The 21,383-nt window shown below is 41.0% G+C and overlaps 1 protein-coding gene across 10 annotated transcripts in view, besides 1 other annotated feature; it reads left to right on the top strand.

Moving 5' to 3' along the window:
- Positions 1 to 21,383, top strand: part of PLAGL1 (PLAG1 like zinc finger 1) — a 124,300-nt gene that overhangs the window by 4,799 nt on the left and 98,118 nt on the right. Inside the window, exons 1-2 of one of the 10 annotated variants that reach the window (NM_001317159.2) lie at positions 4,539 to 4,584; positions 5,976 to 6,138. The exons of the other annotated variants lie outside the window; for them this stretch is intronic. The gene's annotated coding sequence lies outside the window, so the exon portion shown is untranslated. Of the gene's footprint in view, positions 1 to 4,538; positions 4,585 to 5,975; positions 6,139 to 21,383 lie in introns of those variants that run through there. 10 annotated transcript variants of the gene reach the window in all.
- Positions 4,532 to 4,641: an enhancer, noted in NCBI's record as "active region_25209". NCBI's record gives its function as "activates an Ori minimal core promoter by ATAC-STARR-seq in GM12878 lymphoblastoid cells {active_cell/tissue: GM12878}" and the evidence as "EXISTENCE:reporter gene assay evidence [ECO:0000049][PMID:35858748]".

Raw genomic sequence — 21,383 nt, 5'->3', positions numbered from 1 at the left:
ACTAAAGCAGGTTTACTTGCAGGGCAGCCTCAGGGATGGAAAATATTATTAATGGCAAGACAAAGCTTAATGCAGCCAGTGACAAGACTCCCTTAAATTCACAATAGGTGATAGATTTAGTGAGTGGCTATGATGGGTGGTAGCTATTTGCTGAATAGTTTTGCTGAATACATTTCCTAAATATATTAAAAATATCTGGGAAAGTTACAATTAGAGTTAGGGCTGTGAGTAGTATTTATCAAAATATATGTGATTCTTCCCTATTATTGAGAAGGGAGGTTACAGAGCAGGAGGTCACAGGGTCCCCAGGAAAGGGAATTGAGAGGAGGTATCTGGAGAGGACTTTGATGCTTTGTTAACAGACACAAAGGCCCCTGAATCCTGCCCAGTTGGTGGAGGAACCTTAGCAAGACCTGTAGGTCTGAGTCACATTGTAGGCCCAGAGGCCTAGGAGGAAAGAATGGCTTAAAGGGCCAGGCCTGGGGCCCTGATGCCCTGCACCACCCTGGGAAGCTGCTCCTCACATTCCACTGCTCCAGTTCCAGTCTTGGTTCAAAGGGCCCCAGGTAGAGCTCCGGCTGTGGCTTTGGGGAGTGCAAGGTGCCATAAGCCTTAGCAGCTTCCTGTGGGTGCATGGAATGCAGGAATGAAGGAGGCTTGGCAGCTTCCACCTATATTTCCAATGACATATCAGAAAGCCTGAGTGTACAGGCAGAAGCCTGCTGTAGGGGTGGAGACCCTGAAGAGAAACTCTAGTAGGGCAATGTAGAGGGAAAATGTGGGGCTGGAGCCACCACACAGAGTACCCCCAGGGCACTACCTAGTGGAGTTGTGGGAAGGGGGCCACCACCCTCCAGACCCCAGAATGGTAGATCCACCAGCAGCTTGCACTCTTGCCTAGAAAAGATGCAGACACTCAACTCCAGCCTGTGAGAGCAGCTGCAGGGGCTGTACCATGCAAAGCTACAGGGGCAGAGCTTCCTAAGGTCTTGGGGGTCTACTCCTTGTACCCATGTGTCCTGGATGCAGGACATGGAGTCAAAAAAGATAATTTCCGAGCTTTAAGATTTAATAACTGCCCTGCTGGGTTTCAGACTTGCATGAAAATTACCCCTTTCTTTTGGCCAATATATCCCTTTAGAAATGGGAATGTTTACCCAGTGTCTGTACCACCATTGTATTTTGGAAGTAAATAATTTGTTTTGCTTTTATAGGCCCAAAAATGGAAGGTCATGAGTCTCAGATGAGACTTAGGGCTTTGGACTTGATGTTGGAATGAGTTAGGAATTTAATGGACTGTTGAGAAGGGATGATTGCACTTTGTAATGTGAGAAGGACATGAGATTTGGGGGGCTGGGGCAGAATGATGTGGTTTGAAAATTCGTCCCTCCAAATCTCATGTTGAAATGTAATCCTCAGTGTTGGATGTGGGGCCTGGTGAGAGATGATTGGATCATGGGGACGGATCCCTCAGGAATGCTTAGTGCCATCTTCCTGGTGATGAGTGAGCTCACCCAAGATCTGGTTGTTTAAAAAGTGTGTGATGCTGTGGCAACTCCCTCACCTTGCTCTTACTCTCATCATGTGACATGCTGGGTCCCTGTCACCTTCTGCCATGAGTAAGAGCTCCTTGAGCCCTCACCAGAAGCTGAGCATATGTCAGCACCATGCTTCTTGTACAGCCTACAGAAACATAAGCCAATTAAACCTCTTTTCTTTGTAAATTAACCAGTCTCAGTTATTCCTGTATAGTGATGCAAAGATGGCCTAGCACAAATGATATTTTGGAAATGACACCAATTTTAGCTTTAGTATAGGTGTATAAATTTGGAGTCAATCTTATTAGAGATGGTCAAGTATTCATTGGCTCAGCCTAATCTTGGTTTGAGATCTGGCTAAAGTTAAAACTGCAATAGTAATAATAAGTTCCTTCAGACATTAATTTGCATGAGTCCATGAACCTGAGGGCTTTGGGCTGAAAGAAGAGAGGAAGCATGTAGAGGTAAAAAAAAAAAAAAAAAAAATGGTGAGGCGTGGTGGTGTGGAAGGCATGGGATGGCATTTGCCACTTTCTCCAACAACCTTTTCTCTTCGGGCACAGCTACTTAGACTGGGCTTTTAGGGAGAGGAGCTAGAGACATGAGCTGATGAAGCTAATGGGTGTGGCATTTTCAGAGAAAGATTGAAGGGAATGTAGCATCTTTTATCAGCTTGTGGGTTTGGAATCTTTCGAGTACATTGGGAAATGGCACCAGTGCAGGGAAGGGTACGATTCTCTGGAGCACTGTATGCAGTATGCAGCATGCCACAGTGGCACGGGTGCTGGCACATGCTTCCTCCTGCCACTGATGGGCCAGCCCTTGGCCAGGTATACATGTAGGGTGCCTCTGGTGAGAAGAAAGGTGATTTTTAATATATTATTCAATACAGAGCAACATATTTATAAACAACTTGTTTAGGAGAAGTAAAAGCATTACATTTCTATCAAGCAAGGATAAATAGAATACTGCTGGTTATTAACGATTTGCAATGTGCAAAGTACCATGTGCCTTGTCTTTATATAGGTCTTCTCTTTAGTAAAAGTGAATGTGTCTTTGCAAGGAACTTTGGCAGTTTTTTATAAAACTATACATACTCTTAACCATATAATCCAGTGATTGCACTACTTGGTATTTACCCAAAGGAGTTGAAAACTGAAGTCTACACCAAGACCAGTATGAGGATGTTAACAGCAGCTTTATTCATAATTTCCAAAACTTGAAAGCAACCAATATATCCTTCAGTAGGTGAATGGATTAACAAACTGTGGTTCATCCAGCCAATGGGACATTATTTAGCACTAAAAAGAAATGAGAGTCAGGCATAGTGGCTCAGCACTTTGGGAGGCTGAGGCAGGAGGATTGCTTGAGCCTGGGAGTTTGAGAGCAGCCTGGGCAACACCTGGGCAGCATAAATAAAATTAAAAAAAATTAGCTTAGCATGGTGGCACACACCTGTAATCCCACCTACCTGAGAGGCTAATGTGGGAGGATTACTTGAGCCCAAGAGGTCATGGCTACAGTGAGTAGTGATTGTGCCACTGCACTCTGGCCTGGGCAGCAGCGATAACCTGTCTAAATTTAAAAAAACAAAAACAAAAACAAAGAGCTATCAAGCCATGAAAGGACATGGAGGAATCTTAAATGCATATTACTAAGTGAAAGAAGCCAACCTGAAAGGGCTACCTACTGTATGACATTCTAGAGAAGGCAGAACTATGGAGGCAATAAAAAGATCAGTGGCTGTCAAGGGCTAGGGGTGAAAGAGGGTTAAATAGACGGAGCACAGAGGAGTTTTGTTTAGAGCAGTGACACTACTCTGTATGGCACTATATTAGTAGATATATGCTGTTATAAATTTGTCCAAACACATAGAATGTATAACGTCAAGGTGAGCCCGAATGTGAACCATGGACGCTGGGTGATAATGGTGTGTCAGTGTGGATTGAACAGTTGGAACAAATGCGCCATCCTGGTGGGGATGCCGGTAATAGGGGAGGCTGTGCGTGTGTGGGGGATGGGACATGTAAGATGTCTCTTTCCTCCTCAATTTTGCTGTGAACATAAAACAGCTTTGAAAAATAGGCTTTTTTAAAAAAGCGAATGTGTTAAAAGATATAAAGCAGCGGTTCTCAAACTGATCCCTTGGAGGTCTAGATTTCTTCAGAGGTGGGGGTGGGATGGAGAAAGGGATGAGGGGAAAGAAAAGTGAGTCATCTTTTACCATGTTGAACTTCTCTGTGGTACTTCTGTCTTATATGTTGAACTTCTGATATATCATTATGAAAAGGGTGGATCTGCTTTCAAAAGTAAGAGCACTACTATTTTATGAGCTTTTGAAGGTTAAATTTTAGCCCAAATCACAGGGCTGTCATGTAGGTGGAACATGAATCTCTCTGTGTGTGTGAATGTAGTACCCAAAGAAAGACAGTGGCTGTGTATCGTTCATGGGGATGAGGTTCTTTCTTCCAGGACTTGTTATCGTTAATAATGTAAATGTAGCTTTCACTTTCCTAAAGGCACCTGTAGTTATGATTTATATCTCTGACAACTGTGGCTCCAGATCTGGAGATGAGCACATACATGTTTCCCTTCACTAAGACCCAAAACTTTGCTAAGGATGAAAGTGAAGGTCAGGGTTGGGGCAGAGCAGAGATGGACCAGCACAAGGGCCATCAATGGAAGAGACTGTTGAGATGAGACTGGAGGGAGGAGAAAGAATCACAGGCTTGAGGGTAGTTGGGGGTCCTACGATAGAGGCACCCAGGGCAACAAGAAGCTAGATTTGGGGACAAAAGCAATTTAACACAGATAAGAACCTCCATTTAAACCATAAGCCTCATCTGTATAATAAAATTCATCATGTTAAAGAATGCCAGTGTGGTTTTGTATAACAAGCACAGCAAGTCATGGTGGGTTGTGGTTCTGGTGCTGCTTCTGTTCTTGGCTTTGTGACCTTTGAGTCTGCTTCCTTATATGTAAAATGAAAGTGTTGAACTAAGCACTCGGTAAGCTTTCTTCTCTGTCGAACACACTGTGTTTCTGGGTAAGTGTGTTTTCATGAATATCTGTGGATATGAATATCTGTGGATATGCCTCTCCGTGCTCATTAGACATTTCTTTTTCAAAATATATGGCACTACTATATGTAAAGGGTGTTTTTCAATAGAAAGTTCTATTTTTTTGAGCTTCAATAACACTTGGATGGAATCCTTTATTATGACAATTCATGTTGAAAAGGTGCTGGGTTAATGCATTTTCCTCGTGTTTTAATTTGTACATGTCCAAACACTGACCTGTGTTAAGTACAGAATAAAATGGCATTAAATTTCTATTATTTATATGTTGCATTTCCTTTACAAATTTAAAGTTTAGGAAAGAAATAATTTTGCTAGAAATACTTTTGTAAGGAAAATAGCTCTAGTACACCTTACACATGAACACACACACACACACACACACACACACACACACACACACACACACTCTTTTTTAGTTTTTCTTTTTCTTTTATGCTCCGGGATACATGGGTACAACGTGCAGGTTTGTTACATAGGTATATGTGTGCCATGGTTTGCTGCACTATCAACCCGTCATCTAGGTTTTAAGCCCTGCATGCATTAGGTATTTGTCTTAATGCTCTCCCTCCCCTCGCCTCCGACCCCTGACAGGCCACAGTGTGTGTTGTTGCCCTCTCTCTGTCCATGTGTTCTTATTGTTCAGCTCCCACTTACAAGTGAGAACGTGCAGTTTTTGGTTTTCTGCTCCTGTGTTAGTTTGCTGAGGATAATGGCTTCCAGCTTCATCCATGCCCCTGCAAGGGACATGATATCATTCCTTTTTATGGCTGCATAGTATTCTATGGTATATATGTACCACATTTTCTTTATCCAGTCCATCATTAATGGTCATTTGGGTTGGTTCTATGTCTTTGCTATTGTAAATTGTGCTGCAATAAACATACGACACACACATTGTTTTTCTTGCATAAGTAAAAAGTAAGTTTGGAAAGATGTATACTAAACTTAATCTTGGCTAACTCTGAAGAATGGACTGTTGTAGGGGCTGGTAAACTTTCAGTTTTTACTTTATATACTTTTGTATTGTTTGTTAAGTGAGCATATATTTTATAATTTCATGCATGTGGTATGTTATAGAATGAGACTTTATAATTATAAAGCACTTTATTGGATTTATAGGTACAATTGTCATTTGACATAAGTAAGTTAAGACCTAGAGTTAAATAGTATCATTTGTTAGACCATATAGAGAAATGAATATCCCTTTCCTGATGGATTTTGAAGTTGATGGTGTTCTTCTTGGTATGTACTTTGACAGGATTCATGTGATAATTAATATAATCAAAGACTTTCCTGCAGCTTCTTAAAGAGGCTGAGCCCAGAGATGACAAATAAGTTTCATCATATTTTATTGTAGCTGCCTAGAAGGATGTGCTGATAAGGATCTCGAGGTTATAACTATGTTCACTGGGCAAGAATACCGTGATCAGTAACTGGCCTGACATAGTTACTAGAGGATGAGGAAGACAGCTGATCATTTTCCATGTATTTGCCATCCCCGAAGCCTAAACTTTTAGGTGGTAAGTTTCTTTATGAAGGTAGTATTTTCCTTTTTATCCAAATAAGTCCTGTAGGGACTTATTGTCTGTACTGTCCATCATATTTAATCAAATAGTATTTTGCACAGTTATTGAATAGTTTCATGATAAATCATGTTAAGATGGCAAGCACTGGGACCTTTTGTATCCCTCATAGGTGGTAGCAAGATGTTATACTTGAATGAACTACTCAAGAATTAATGACTAATTAGGCCGGGTGTGGTGGCTCACGCCTGTAACACCAGCAATTTGGGAGGCCATCGTGGCTGATCACCTGAGGTCAGGAGTTTCAGACCAGCCTGGCTAACATGGTGAAACCCTGTCTCCACTAAAAATACAAAAATTAGCTCGGCATGATGGTGCATGCCTGTAATCCCAGGTACTCAGGAGACTGAGGCAGGAGAATTGCTTGAACCCGGGAGGCAGAGGTTGCAGTAAGCCAAAATTGCGCCACTGCACTCCAGCCTGGGCGACAGAGTGAGACCATTTCAAAAAAAATGATTGATTGATTGATTTTGGCAATGTGTGGTTGTAGCTGATAAGGATGACCCAATATGGTTGAGCATCAGTTAAAATAAATAATTTCATCCTTGTTTATCAAAGCATTTACAAGTATTGGTGCTAACCTGAAAAAATATAGTATTGTGAGTATAATTTTTTTCTGTGACCCCCTTCAGTCTTCTCAGTTCATGATACCAAGAAAGAATTAAATGGCTTAAATGTTGAAACAAGGAGTAGTTCAATTTTTTACATTTTTGTTCTAAGAGGGCACCAATGTTGCATATATCCTGGATGTGGAGAATTTAAACACATTGTTGATAGAATTTCTTTTCATAAGAACTAGTTGTTGGAAAAGGAAAAATACAGAAAATCAGTCCCTCCACAACCCCCTCCCCCACATTTTTTTTTCTTTTTTTGGTTTAGTAGTTGTGGAAAGAGAAAAGTGCTTAATCAGCATAGTGTGAAGCTGCCAGCATATTGAGTCCCCAATTATTTCAGACTGAATTTTTAAAAATCAAGCATTTGTTTGACATCCTGTTTGCAACCATATGAACAAGATATATATTCATCCATTCATTTGTTTAACAACATCTATTAGATGTCAAGCACTGTTTAGGCTCTGGGAGTAGAGTGCTAGACAGGAGATAGAGTCCCTGCCCCATGTTCATTATGGATGAGAAAAATTAGATCTCTACAAAATGTCTTGCCCAAAGTGGTAGAACTGGGGCTTGAACTAAGTATCCACATTTTAAATTCAGTGCTCTATTCTTTGTATCACACTGCCTCACATAATTCTAAAGGACCCTTATTGAATATCAGCAAAAATGTTCTATCTGCCTTGGTTGATTGATTGATTGATTGATTGACTGATTGCTCCTTCTTTGGTGGTAGTCTTTTCCTTGCCATGTGCTCTTTTCCTTGCCATATTGAATGAAGGACATATATACTATCTGTCAGGATCACTTACCTTCTTTTCTGATCTTAGGACAAATATTTATTTTTCTGAATAGCAACCTAGGATCATGTCATTAAAAATAGTATCTGAGTAAAGTAATTGGAGCAGTATTTTTCAAACTCTTAAGTTTTAATTTGGTAAAATGAAACCAGTAAAAATAAAAATAAATCTCACAGTGCATCATGAGTGGTAAGGTAAATATTGTTAGATTAAACTGTAATTCATGAATATATGTGATATGGTTTGGCTGTGTCCCCACCCAAATTTCATCTTGAATTGTAACTCCCACAATTCCCACATGTCGTGGGAGTAACCCAGTGGGAGGTGATTAAATTATGGGGGAGGGTCTTTCCTGCACTATTCTCATGATAGTGAATGAGTCTCATGAGATCTGATGGTTTTAAAAATGAGAGTTCCCCTGCACAAGCTCTCTCTTGCCTGCCACCATTCATGTAAGACATGACTTGCTCCTCCTCGTTTTCTACCATGATTGTGAGGCCTCTCCAGCAATGTGGAACTGTAAGTCCATTAAACCTCTCTTTCTTCCCAGTCTTATCTATCATAGTTATGATATGTCTTTATCAGCAGCATGAAAGAGGACTAATACAATATGTTTGAACTTGGTTGCAACATGAAATGTTTTTCTTAGTGTTGGTTTGGTAAAAACATTTGAAACATATTGGTTTAAAGGGCATCCAATAAGATATCATTTGTGAAAAAAACAGGAGTAAATGATTGTCCTTAGTTGTTATTTGATTGTATGTGTGTGCCTCATGCATGGTGGGTGTTGTTTACCAAAAGGATTCAAAGCAATAAAGTAGAATTAGTGTGAGGAAAGTGCTAGGAGAAGCTGTTTGGCATCTAAATATATGCCTGAATGGATCTTTTTCCATTAAGCACATACATGTTGCAGTTATTGGTTTCCCTGTGTCCTGCACTTTTGCTTATTGTGGTTTCCTGTATTGAGTGGATTCATTGTTTTCTGAAATTTATTGTAATTTAATTGTGTGATATATAGAAAACTTAGAGAAAGTACGTAATTGAGGTGATTTCCTAGACATTATCTGATAGTCTGTAGGTGTCTAGATTTTAAGTTGTTACATATTACAAACTGTTAAAGCTGATTTAGAGTTGTTACATATCATGTACTGACTTATTTTAAAGCTGATTTAAGATTTTATTTTTACATTTAATTTATAAATGTTTGTCAGCAGATTTTGCCTGAAGATATTATTGGTAATAAAAGAGTAACAGATACAGTTCCCTAAGGTTTTTGGCTTTGTTTTGTTTTTGAGACAGGGTCTTGCTTTGTCACCTAGGTTGGAGTGTGGTGGCACAATTGTAGTTTACTACAGCCTGAAACTCACAGACTCAAGTGATCCTGCCACCTCAGCCTCTTGAGTAGCTGGGACAACAGGCATGTGCCACCACACCTGATTTACTTAAAAAAAAATTTTTTTTTGTAGAAACAGGGTCTCACTATGTTTCCCAGGTTGGTCTCAAACTCCTGGCCTCAAGTGATCCTCCTGCCTTGGCCTCCCAAAGTGCTGGGATTATAGACATGAGCCACTGCACCTGACACAGAGATGTGTATAAATATCATGTGCTTATTCTTTGCAAGGCAGGAATAAGATATTTATTCCCTAGAATAAGCCTATAATGTAATAATAGAGACATAAACATAGAGAAGAGACAGCCTTAAAAGAGTGTAGAAGAATCTTTCTCTCCTCAGACAGAAGAAAAGAGAATAACATATGAGCGATAAAAATGCTCTGAGAAGGGATTTGGGCAGGAAAGCCGAGCAAGCCCTGGTTGCTGGTATCAAAGACCTTCTGGCAGCATTGTGTTATGGACATATTTCACTTAGTTGAGTTCAGCAGTCGATTTCAAGGGGAAATAAAAGAACAATAATTAGCACAGGAGGTTGCCCCTAGCATGTCACACAGTGGGTGTATTGTCCTGGAATGAGTACGTTCTGGGCAATGTGAATCTCTTGTTCCCTTAGGTGGTCTCAATTTCCCTCAAAACTCACCAGACACATAAATATTTTGAGTTAAACTCAAAGTAAGCACCCTTACTTGCTTTCATGAAAAATAACTACTCTCCTACTTCATTCAAAAAGCCGAGGCTCTAAATTGTGAATGGCTTCCCTCCCATTCACCCTTTCCCCCTTCTGCCATTTTTCGCATCTGCACCTTTCCTCCCCTCCACTTCTCCAGCTTCGAAGGATCTTAGTCCAGACCTGTCTTGTGCACTGTTGGACCCTGCTTACTCAATTTATCCTCTCCCTCATGATCAGAAGCTACGCAGCACGAAGGATAAAAACCTTGGCTTTGGAGCCACCTTCTAAGTATGTCACACAGTTATCAAACCTCCATGTGTCTCAGTTTTTTATTTGAAAAATGGGACTAGTAATAGAGTGACATAATTAGGCTTTGTGTCCCCACCCAAATCTCATCTTGAAATTGTAATCCCCATAATCCCTACATGTCTAGGGAGAGACCTGGTGGGAGGCAATTAGATCATGGGGCCAGTTTTCCCCATGCTGTTCTCATGATAGTGAGTGAGTTCTCACAAGATCTGATGGTTTCATAAGAGGCTCTTTCCCCTTCACTCCTCACTCTTCCCCTGCTTCCATGTGAGAAGGTCCAAGCTTGCTTCCTCTTTGCTTTCCACCATGATTGTAAGTTTCCTGATGCCTCCCTAGCCGTGCAGAACTGTGAGTCAATTACATCTCTTTCCTTTATAAATTACCCATCTGAGGTATTTCTTTATAGCAAAGTGAAAACTGACTAACACAGTTAATTGATACCAAGGTAGTGGGGTATTGCTATAAAGATACTTAAAAATGAGGAAGCAACTTTGGAACTGGGTAACAGGCAGAGGTTGGAACAGATTGGAGGGCCCAGAAGAGGACAGGAAGTTGTGGGAAAGTTTGGAACTTTCTAGAGACTTGTTGAATGGTTTTGACCAAAATGCAGTTAATGATGTGGACAATGAAGTACAGGCTGAGGTGGTCTCAGATGAAGATAAGGAAAGTCTTGGGAACTGGAGCAAAGGTCACATTTGCTATGCTTTAGCAAAGAGACTGGTGGCATTTTGCCCCTGCCCTAGAGATCTGTGCAACTTTGAACTTGAGAGAGATTATTTAGGGTAACTGGCAAAAGAAATTTCTAAGCAGCAAAGCATTCAAGAGGTGACCTGGTTGATTTTGAAAGCATTCAATCTTATGCATTCACAAAGAGATGGTTTGAAATTGGAATTTGGATTTAAAAGGGAAGCAGAGCATAGAAGTTTGGAAAATATGCATCCCGACCTTGTAGTAGAAAAGAAAAACCTATTTTCTTAAGGAGGAATTCAAGCCAGCTGCAGAAATTTGCATGAGTAATGAGGAGCCACATATTAATAGCCAAGATGATGGGGAAAACATTTCAGGGCATGTTAGAGACCTTCTTGGCAGCCCCTCCCATAACAGACCTGGAGGCCTAGTGGGAAGAAATGGTTTCATGGGCCTGGCTTACAGCCCTGATGCTGCTCTGTGTAGCCTCAGGACTTGGCACCCTGTGTCCCAGCCATAGCTAAAAGGGGCCAACATACAGCTCAAGCCATTGCTTCAGAGACTGCAAGCTGTAAGCCTTGGAGGCTTCCATATAGTGTTGGGTCTGAGGGTGCACAGAAGTCAAGAATCAAGGTTTGGGAACCTCTGCCTAGACTTCAAAGGATGTATGGAAATGCCTGAATGTCCAGGCAGAAGTCTCCTGCAGGGGTGGAGCTCTCATGGAGAACCTCTGCTAGCGTAGTCCAGGAGGAAAATGTGGGGTTGGAGCCCCCACACAGAGTCCCCACTGGGGCACTGCCTAATGGAGCTGTGAGAAGAGGGCCACTGTCCTCCAGATCCCAGAATGCTAGATCCACTGACAGCTTGCACTGTGCACCTGGAAAAGCCACCAACACTCAATGCCAGCCCATGAAAGCAGCCAAGAGGGAGGCCGTACCCTGCAAAGCCACAGAGGCAGAGCTGCCCAAGACCGTGGGAGCCCACTTCTTGCATCAGCATACCCTGATGTGAGACATGGAATAAAAGGAGATTATGTTGGAGCTTTAAGATTTAATGACTGTCCCCTTGGATTTTGGACTTGCATGGAGCCTGTAGCCCTTTTGTTTTGACCAATTTCTCCCATTTGGAATGGGAGCATTTATCTAATGCTTGTACCCTCATTGTATCTGGGAAGTAGCTAACTTGGTTTTGATTTTACAGGCTCTTAGGAGGAAGGGAGTTGCCTTGTCTCAGAAGAGACTTTGGACTTGGACTTTTGAGTTAATGCTGAAATGAGAAGGCTTTGGGGAACTGTTGGGAAGGGCTGATTGGTTTTGAAATGTGAGGACATGAGATTTGGGGGTGTCAGGGGCAGAATGATATGGTTAGAATTTGTGTTCCCACCCAAATCTCATCTTGAATTGTAATCTCCATAATCCTCACAATCCCCACGTGTTGAGGGAGAGACCTGGTGTGGGGTGATTGGATCATGGGGATGGTTTTCCCCATGCTGTTCTTGTGATAGTGAGTGAGTTCCCATGATATCTGATGGTTTTATAAGGGAATTTTCCCTGCTCTTGCTCTCATTTTCTCATGCCACATAAGCCATGCCTCTTCCCCTTCTGCCATGATTGTAAGTTTCCTGAGGCCTCCCAGCCATGTGGAACTGTGAGTCAGTTAAACATCTTTACTTTAAAAATTACCCCATCTTGGGCAGATTTTTATAGCAATGTGAGAATGCACTAATAGATAGAGCTTACCTTATAATGTTGAGAGGATGCCGTGAGTTAAGGTAGGTAAATAGTTGGAATAATGGTCCGCTCCAAGATGGCCAAATAGGAACAGCTGTAGTCTGCAGCTCCCAGTGTGATCGATGCAGAAGACAGGTGATTTCTGCATTTCCAACCGAGGTACCTGGTTCATCTCACTGGGACTGGTTGGACAGTGGGTGCAGCCCATGGAGGGCAAGCTGAAGCAGGGTGGGGTGTTGCCTCACCCGGGAAGTGCAAGGGGTTGGGGGATTTGCCTTTCCTAGCCAAGGGAAGCTGTGACAGACTGTACCTGGAAAATCGGGACATTGCCACCCAAATACTGTGCTTTTCCAATGGTCTTAGCAAACGGCACACCAGGAGATCATATCCTGCTCCTGGCTCAGCGGGTCCCACGCCCACAGAGCCTTGTTCACTGCTAGCGCAGCAGTCTGAGATCGAACTGTGAGGTGGCAGCCTGGCTGGGGGAGGGGTGTCCGCTATTGCTGAGGCTTGAGTAGGTAAGCAAAGTGTCCAGGAAGCTAGAACTGGGTGGAGCCCACCCGCAGCTCAATGAGGCCTGCCTGCCTGCCTCTGTAGACTCCACCTTTGGGGGCAGGGCATAGCTGAACAAAAGGCAGCAGAAACATCTGCAGACTTAAACGTCCCTGTCTGACAGCTCTGAAGAGAGCAGTGGTTCTCCCAGCACAGTGTTTGAGCTTTGAGAACAGACACACTGCCTCCTCAAGTGGGTCCCTGACCCCCGTGTAGCCTAACTGGGAGACACCTCCCAGTAGGGGCCAACTAACACCTCATTTAGCCAGGTGCCCCTCTGAGACGAAGCTTCCAGAGGAAGGATCAGCCAGGAATATTTGCTCTTCTGCAGCCTCTGCTGGTGACACCCAGGCAAACAGGGTCTGGAGTAGACCTCCAGCAAACTCCAGCAGACCTGCAGCTGAGAGACCTGACTGTTAGAAGGAAAACTAACAAACAGAAAGGAATAGTATCAACATTAACAAAAAGGACATCCACACCAAAACCCCATCTGTAGGTCACCATCATCAAAGGCCAAAGGTAGATAAAACCACAAAGATGGGGAGAAACCAGAGCAGAAAAGCTGAAAATTCTAAAAACCAGAGCACCTTTTCTCCTCCAAAGGATCACAGCTCCTTGCCAGCAACAGAACAAAGCTGGACAGAGAATGACTTTGAGGAGTTGACAGAAGTAGGCTTCAGAAGATTGGCAATATCAAACTTCTCTGAGCTGAAGGAGGATGTTCAAACCCATTGCAAGGAAGCCAGAAACCTTGAAAAAAGATTAGATGAATGGCTCACTAGAACAAACAGTGTAGAGAAGAACTTAAATGACCTGATGGAGCTGAAAACCATGGCACAAGAACTATGTGACGCATGCACAAGCTTCAGTAGCCAATTCAATCAAGTGGAAGAAAGGGTATCAGTGATTGAAGATCAAATGAATGAAGTGAGAAGAGAAGTTTAGAGAAAAAAGAGTAAAAGAAATGAACAAAGCCTCCAAGAAATATGGGACTATGTGAAAAGACCAAATCTACGTTTGATTGGTGTACCTGAAAGTGATGGGGAGAATGGAACCAAGCTGGAAAACACTCTTCAGGATATTATCCAAGAGAACTTCCCCAACCTAGCAAGGCAGGCCAACATTCAAATTCAGGAAATACAGAGAACACCACAAAGATACTCCTTGAGAAGAGCAACCCCAAGACACATAACTGTCAGATTCATCAAGGTTGAAATGAAGGAAAAAATGTTAAGGGCAGCCAGAGAGAAAGGTCGGGTTACCCACAAAGGGAAGCCCATCAGACAAACAGTGGATCTCTCGCCAGAAACTCTACAAGCCAGAAGAGAGCAGGGGCCAATATTCAACATTCTCAAAGAAAAGAATTTTCAACCCAGAATTTCATATCCAGCCAAACTAAGCTTCTTCATAAGTGAAGGAGAAATAAAATCCTTTACAGACAAGCAAATGCTGAGAGATTTTTGTCACCACCAGGCCTGCCTTACAAGAGCTCCTGAAGGAAGCACTAAACGTGGAAAGGAACAACCAGTACCAGCCACTGCAAAAACATGCCCAATTGTAAAGACCATCGATACTAGGAAGAAGCTGCATCAATTAACAGGCAAAACAACCAGCTAACATCATAATGACAGGATCAAATTCACACATAACAATATTTACCTTAAATGTAAATGGGCTAAATTCCCCAATTAAAAGACACAGACTGGCAAATTGGATAAAGAGTCAAGACCCATCAGAGTGCTGTATTCAGGAGACCCATCTCACATGCAGAGACACACATAGGCTCAAAATAAAGGAATGGAGGAAGATCTACCAAGCAAATGGAAAGCCAAAAAAAAAAAAAAAAAAGCAGGGGTTGCAATCCTAGTCTCTGATAAAACAGACTTTAAACCAACAAAGATCAAAAGAGACAAAGAAGGCCATTACATAATGGTAAAGTGATCAATTCAACAAGAAGAGCTAACTATCCTAAATATAGATATGCATCCAATACAGGAGCACCCAGATTCATAAAACAATCCTTAGAGACCTAAAAAGAGACTTAGACTCCCACACAATAATGATGGGAGACATTAACACCGCACTGTCAATATTAGACAGATTGAGACAGAAGGTTAACAAGGATATCCAGGACTTGGACTCAGCTCTGCACCAAGCGGACCTAATAGACATCTACAGAACTCTTCACCACAAATCAACAGAATATACATTCTTCTCAGCACCACATTGCACTTATTCCAAAGTTGACCAGTTGGAAGTAAAACACTCCTCAGCAAATGTAAAAGGACAGAAATCACAACAAACTGTCTCTCAGACCACAGCGCAATCAAATTAGAACTCAGGATTAAGAAACTCACTCAAAACCACACCACTACATGGAAACTGAACAACCTGCTCCTGAATGACTACTGGGTGAATAACGAAATGGAAGCAGAAATAAAGATGTTCTTTGAAACCAATGAGAACAAAGACACAATGTACCAGAATCTCCGGGACACGTTTAAAGCAGTGTGTAGAGGGAAATTTATAGCGCTAAATGCCCACAAGACAAAGCAGGAAAGATCTAAAATTGACACCCTAACATCACAGTTAAAAGAATTAGAGAAGCAAGAGCAAACAAATTCAAAAGCTAGCAGAAGGCAAGAAATAACTAAGATCAGAGCAGAACTGAAGGAGATAGAGACACAAAAAACCCTTCAAAAAAATCAATGAATCCAGGACCTGGTTTTTGAAAAGATCGACAAAATTGATAGACCACTAGCAAGGCTAATAAAGAAGAAAAGAGAGAAGAATCAAATAGACACAATAAAAAATGATAAAGGGGATATCACCAATGATCCCACGGAAATACAAACTTCTATCAGAGAATACTATAACCACCTCTATGCAAATAAACTAGAAAACCTAGAAGAAATGGATAAATTCCTGGACACATACACCCTGCCAAGGCTAAACCAGGAAGAAGTTGAATCCCTGAATAGACCAATAACAGGCCCTGAAATTGAGGCAATAATTAACAGCCTACCAACCAAAAAAAGTCCAGGACCAGACGGATTCACAGCCAAATTCTACCAGAGTTACAAAGAGGAGCTGGTACCATTCCTTCTGAAACAATTCCAATCAATAGAAAAAGAGGGAATCCTCCCTAACTCATTTTATGAGGCCAGCATCATCCTGATACCAAAGCCTAGCAGAGACACAACAAAAAAAAAGAGAATTTTAGACCAATATCCCTGATGAACATCGATGCGAAAATCCTCAATAAAATACTGGCAAACCAAATCCAGCAGCACATCAAAAAGCTTATCCACCAAGATCAAATTGGTTTCATCCCTGGGATGCAAGGCTGATTCAAAATATGCAAATCGATAAACGTAATCTATCACATAAACAGAACCAAAGACAAAAACCATGTGATTATCTCAATAGATGCAGAAAAGGCCTTCAACAAAATTCAACAGCCCTTCATGCTAAAAACTCTCAGTAAACTAGGTATTGATGGGACATATCTCAAAATAATAAGAGCTATTTATGACAAACCCACAGCCAATATCATACTGAATGGGCAAAAACTGGAAGCATTCCCTTTGAATACTGGCACAAGACAGGGATGCCCTCTCTCACCACTTCAATTCAACATAGTGTTGGAAGTTCTGGCCAGGGCAATCAGGCAAAAGAAAGAAATAAAGGGTATTCAATTAGGAAGAGAAGAAGTCAAATTGTCCCTGTTTCCAGATGATATGATTGTATATTTAGAAAACCCCATTGTCTCAGCCCCAGATCTCCTTCAGCTGATAAGCAACTTCAGCAAAGTCTTAGGATACAAAATCAATGTGGAAAAATCACAAGCATTCCTATACACCAATAACAGACAAACAGAGAGCCAAATCATGAGTGAACTCCCATTCACAATTGCTACAAAAAGAATAAAATACCTGGGAATCCAACTTACAAGGGATGTGAAGGACCTCTTCAAGGAGAACTATAAACCACTGCTCAACAAAATAAAAGAGAACACAAACAAATGGAAGAACATTCCATGCTCATGGGTAGGAAGAATCAATATCATGAAAATGGCCATACTGCCCAAGGTAATTTATAGATTCAATGCCATCCGCATCAAGCTACCAATGACTTTCTTCACAGAATTGGAAAAAACCACTTTAAAGTTCATATGGAACCAAAAAAGAGCTTGCATTGCCAAGACAATCCTAAGCAAAAAGAACAAAGCTGGAGGCATCACGCTACCTGACTTCAAACTATACTATAAGGCTACAGTAACCAAAACAGCATGGTACTGGTACCAAAACAGATATATAAACCAGTGGAACAGAACAGAGGCCTCAGAAATAACAGCACACATCTACAACCATCTGGTCTTTGACAAACCTGACAAAAACAAGAAATGGGGAAAGGATTCCCTATTTAATAAATGGTGCTGGGAAAACTGGCTAGCCATATGGAGAAAGCTGAAACTGGATCCCTTCCTTTCACCTTATGCAAAAATTAATTCAAGATGGATTAAAGACTTAAATGTTAGACCTAAAACCATAAAAACCCTAGAAGAAAACCTAGGCAGTACATTCAGGACATAGGATGGGCAAGGACTTCATGACTAAAACACCAAAAGCAATGGCAACAAAAGCCAAAATAGACAAATGGGATCTAATTAAACGAAAGAGGTTCTGCACAGCAAAAGAAACTACCATCAGAGTGAACAGGTAACCTACAGAATGGGAGAAAATTTTTGCAATCTACCCATCTGACAAAGGGCTAACATCCAGAATCTACAAAGAACTCAAATTTACAAGAAAAAAACAACCCCATCAAAAAGTGGGCAAAGGATATGAACAGATACTTCTCAAAAGAAGACATTTATGCAGCCAACAGACACATGAAAAAATGCTCATCATCACTTGGTCATCAGAGAAATGCAAATCAAAACCACAATGAGATACCATCTCACACCAGTTAGAATGGTGATCATTAAAAAGTCAGGAACAGGTGCTGGAGACGATGCGGAGAAATAGGAATGCTTTTATGCCATTGTTGGGAGTGTAAACTAGTACAACCATTGTGGAAGACAGTGTGGCAATTCCTCAAGGATCTAGAACTAGAACTACCATTTGACCCAGTGATCCCATTACTGGGTATATACCCAAAGGATTATAAATCATGCTACTATGAAGACACATGCAGATATTGTATGTTTATTGCAGCACTATTCACAATAGCAAAGACTTGGAACCAAGCCAAATGTCCAACAATGATAGACTGGATTAAGAAAATGTGGCACATATACACCATGGAATACTATGCAGCCATAAAAAAGGATGAGTTCATGTCCTTTTTAGGGACATGGGTGAAGCTGGAAACCATCATTCTGAGCAAATTGTCACAGGGACAAAAAACCAAACACCGCATGTTCTCACTCATAGGTGGGAATTGCACAATGAGAACACTTGGACACAGGGTGGGGAACATCATACACTGGGGCCTGGTGTGGGGTGGGGGCATGGGGGAGGGATAGCATTAGGAGAAATACCTAATGTAAATGATGAGTTAATAGGTGCAGCAAACCAACATGGCACATGTATACATATGTAACAAACCTGCATGTTGTGCATATGTACCCTAGAACTTAAAGTATATATATATATAGAAAGTTGGAATAGTATCTGCCACAAGCTCTCAATAAATATTAGCTTTTACTATTCCTATTACTATGGCTACTACTACTGTTAACTTGCTACTCCCCATTGGTCTTCACCCCTCAGCTCATATGTCTGCAAAACATTTCCTGTTCTGGAAAAGAATAAAGCCGAACTGTCTCTTGACCACAGATCCCTTTCTAACTACTATATTCTCTCTTTTTCCCACCTAAGGGTTTTAAAGATTATTCAAGGTGGGCTATCTTTACTTCTTCATCTCCTATTACTTTGCTTTTTTGTTTTGTTTTTGTTTTTGTTTTTGAGACAGAGTCTCAGTCTGTCACCTGAGCTGGAGTGCAGTGGTCTGATCTCAGCTCACTGCATGCAACCTCCACCTCCCAGGTTCAAGCAATTCTCCTGTCTCAGCCTCCCAAGTAGCTGGGATTACAGGCATGTGCTACCACACAAATTTTTTTGTATTTTTAGTGGAGACAGGTTTTGCCATGTTGGCCAGACTGGTCTCGAACTCCTGGCCTCAAGTGATCTGACTGCCTTGGCCTCCCAAAGTGCTGGGATTACAGGTGTGAGCCACTGTGCCTGGCTACCTCCTAGTAGCTTTTATTTTTTTTTAGACATTGTTTTCTTTATTTTTATATTTCTTTATTTTTTGAGACTGAGTCTCCCTCTGTCACCCAGGCTAGAGTGTAGTGGTGTGATCTTGGCTCACCACAACCTCTGCCTCTCAGGTTCAAATGATTTGCCTGCCTCAGCCTCCTGAGTAGCTGGGATTACAAGCATGTGCCACCATGCCCAGCTAATTTTTGTTTTTTTAATAGAGCCAGGATTTCACTATGTTGCCCAGGCTAGTCTTGAACTCCCGGGTTTAAGCGATCCACCCGCCTCAGCCTCCCAAAGTGCTGGGATTACAGGTGTGAGCCACCGTGCCTGGCCTAGACCTTGTTTTAAGTAAGATATTAACTAGCTAAAACATTACTAAAATATTTTCTATTTTGAGTGCTTTGATTATGTATTTAGTACTTACCATGAACTTTGGAGTTCCCTGTAGGTCCCTCCCTAAGCCCTTCCTTCTTTTTTTCTCATTAAATGTTATCACTGTGCAGTATTTTTATATTAATCATTTTCTAACCTTGTTCATCATTTTCCCTGACATTTGTATATGTTTAGTTTTGCTTGTTGTTGAATGTTGTACATGGAATTATATGATATAAATTATCTGGAGGCTTGCCTTTTGAACCTAACTATAATTTCATCCATTTTTATTGGCATAAGGATGCCATTATGTGCCACAATGTATTAATTTTCTTGTTGATAGACCTTTTGGCCTTTTGCTACTACAAAGAGATTTGCTGTGAACATTCTTGCAGATATATCTTGGTGTACATATGCATAAATATGTCTAGGATTTATACCCAGGAATGGAATTTCTGTAGCATTTAGTATATACCCCTTTGTATTCACTGACTATTACAAATTATTGATCAAAGTGGTTGTGCTATTTAATACCCCTATCAGAAGTGTAAATCTCTCCTTGTCAACCTTTTCATTTTTGGGGTGTAAAATGGCATGTGATATTTTATTTGATTTTATTTTTGAGACACAGTCTCACTCTGTCACCCAGGCTGAAGTGAAGTGGCACAATCTTGGCTCACTGCAACCTCCACCTCCCAGGTTCAAGCAATTCTCGTGTCTCAGCCTCTTGAGTAGCTGGGATTACAAGCATGTGCCAACATGCCCAGCTAATTTTTGTATTTTTTTGTAGAGATGGGGTTTTGCCATGTTGGCCAGACTGGTTTCAAACTTTGGGCCTCTAATGATCCACCCACTTCTGCCTCCCAAAGTGTTGAGATTACAGGTGTGAGCCACTGCATCTGGCCAGCATGTGATATTTTAAAATTTCATTATCTGATGACTAATGAAGTCAACCATCTTTTCATTGGTTTCTGAGCCATTTCTGTTTATTCTTCAGTAAAACACCTGTTTATATGCCTTGCCCATTTTTCTTTTGGATTGTCTCTTCCTTATTTATTTGTAATCACTTTTTATAATTCTGGAATAGCAAACCTATCTCCCAAATTTGTGGCTTGTGTTTTTACTTTATGTCTTTCCCCTATCCCTGAGCTACTTCTGATATTTATTTTCTATATTACTGGCTCTCAGCAATTTTTATGATGTGTCTCTTGGCATGGTTTTCTTTTCTTTTTGTAAAAAACAACTTACTGAGATATAGTTCACATATCATACAATTCACCCATTTAAAATGGCTTTTAGTATATTCATAGAGTTGTGCATTTTCCACTATAATCAAGTTTATGACTTTTTCATTTAGTCATCATCCCCACTCCTTTCATCACTTTTAGCCCTAGGCAGTCACTAATCTACTTTCTGTCTCTCTAGATTTGGCTACTCTGGGCATTTCATATAAATGGGATCATATAATATGTGGTTCTTTGTGATTGATTTCTTCACACAGTATAATGTTTTCAAAGGCCACCCATGTTGTAGCATGTATCAGTACTTCATTTATTTTTATTTCCAAATATATTTCTTTGTTTGGACATGTCATTTTATTTATCCATTCATTGAAAAAAAACTATTCTTTCCCCATTGAATTGTCTTGGCATCCTTGTCAGAAATCTACTGGGTACAGACATATGGGTTTATTTATGGGTGCTTGATTCTATTCATTAATCTATAGCTAGCCTTAATGCCAGTACCTCATTGTCTTGATTACTGTAGCTTTGTAGTAAGTTTTGAAATTA

The sequence above is a fragment of the Homo sapiens genome, chromosome 6 (assembly GCF_000001405.40).
Source record: "Homo sapiens chromosome 6, GRCh38.p14 Primary Assembly".
In the NCBI taxonomy this organism is placed as follows: Eukaryota; Metazoa; Chordata; class Mammalia; order Primates; family Hominidae; genus Homo; species Homo sapiens.
This window is presented reverse-complemented; position numbering and strand designations above follow the sequence as displayed.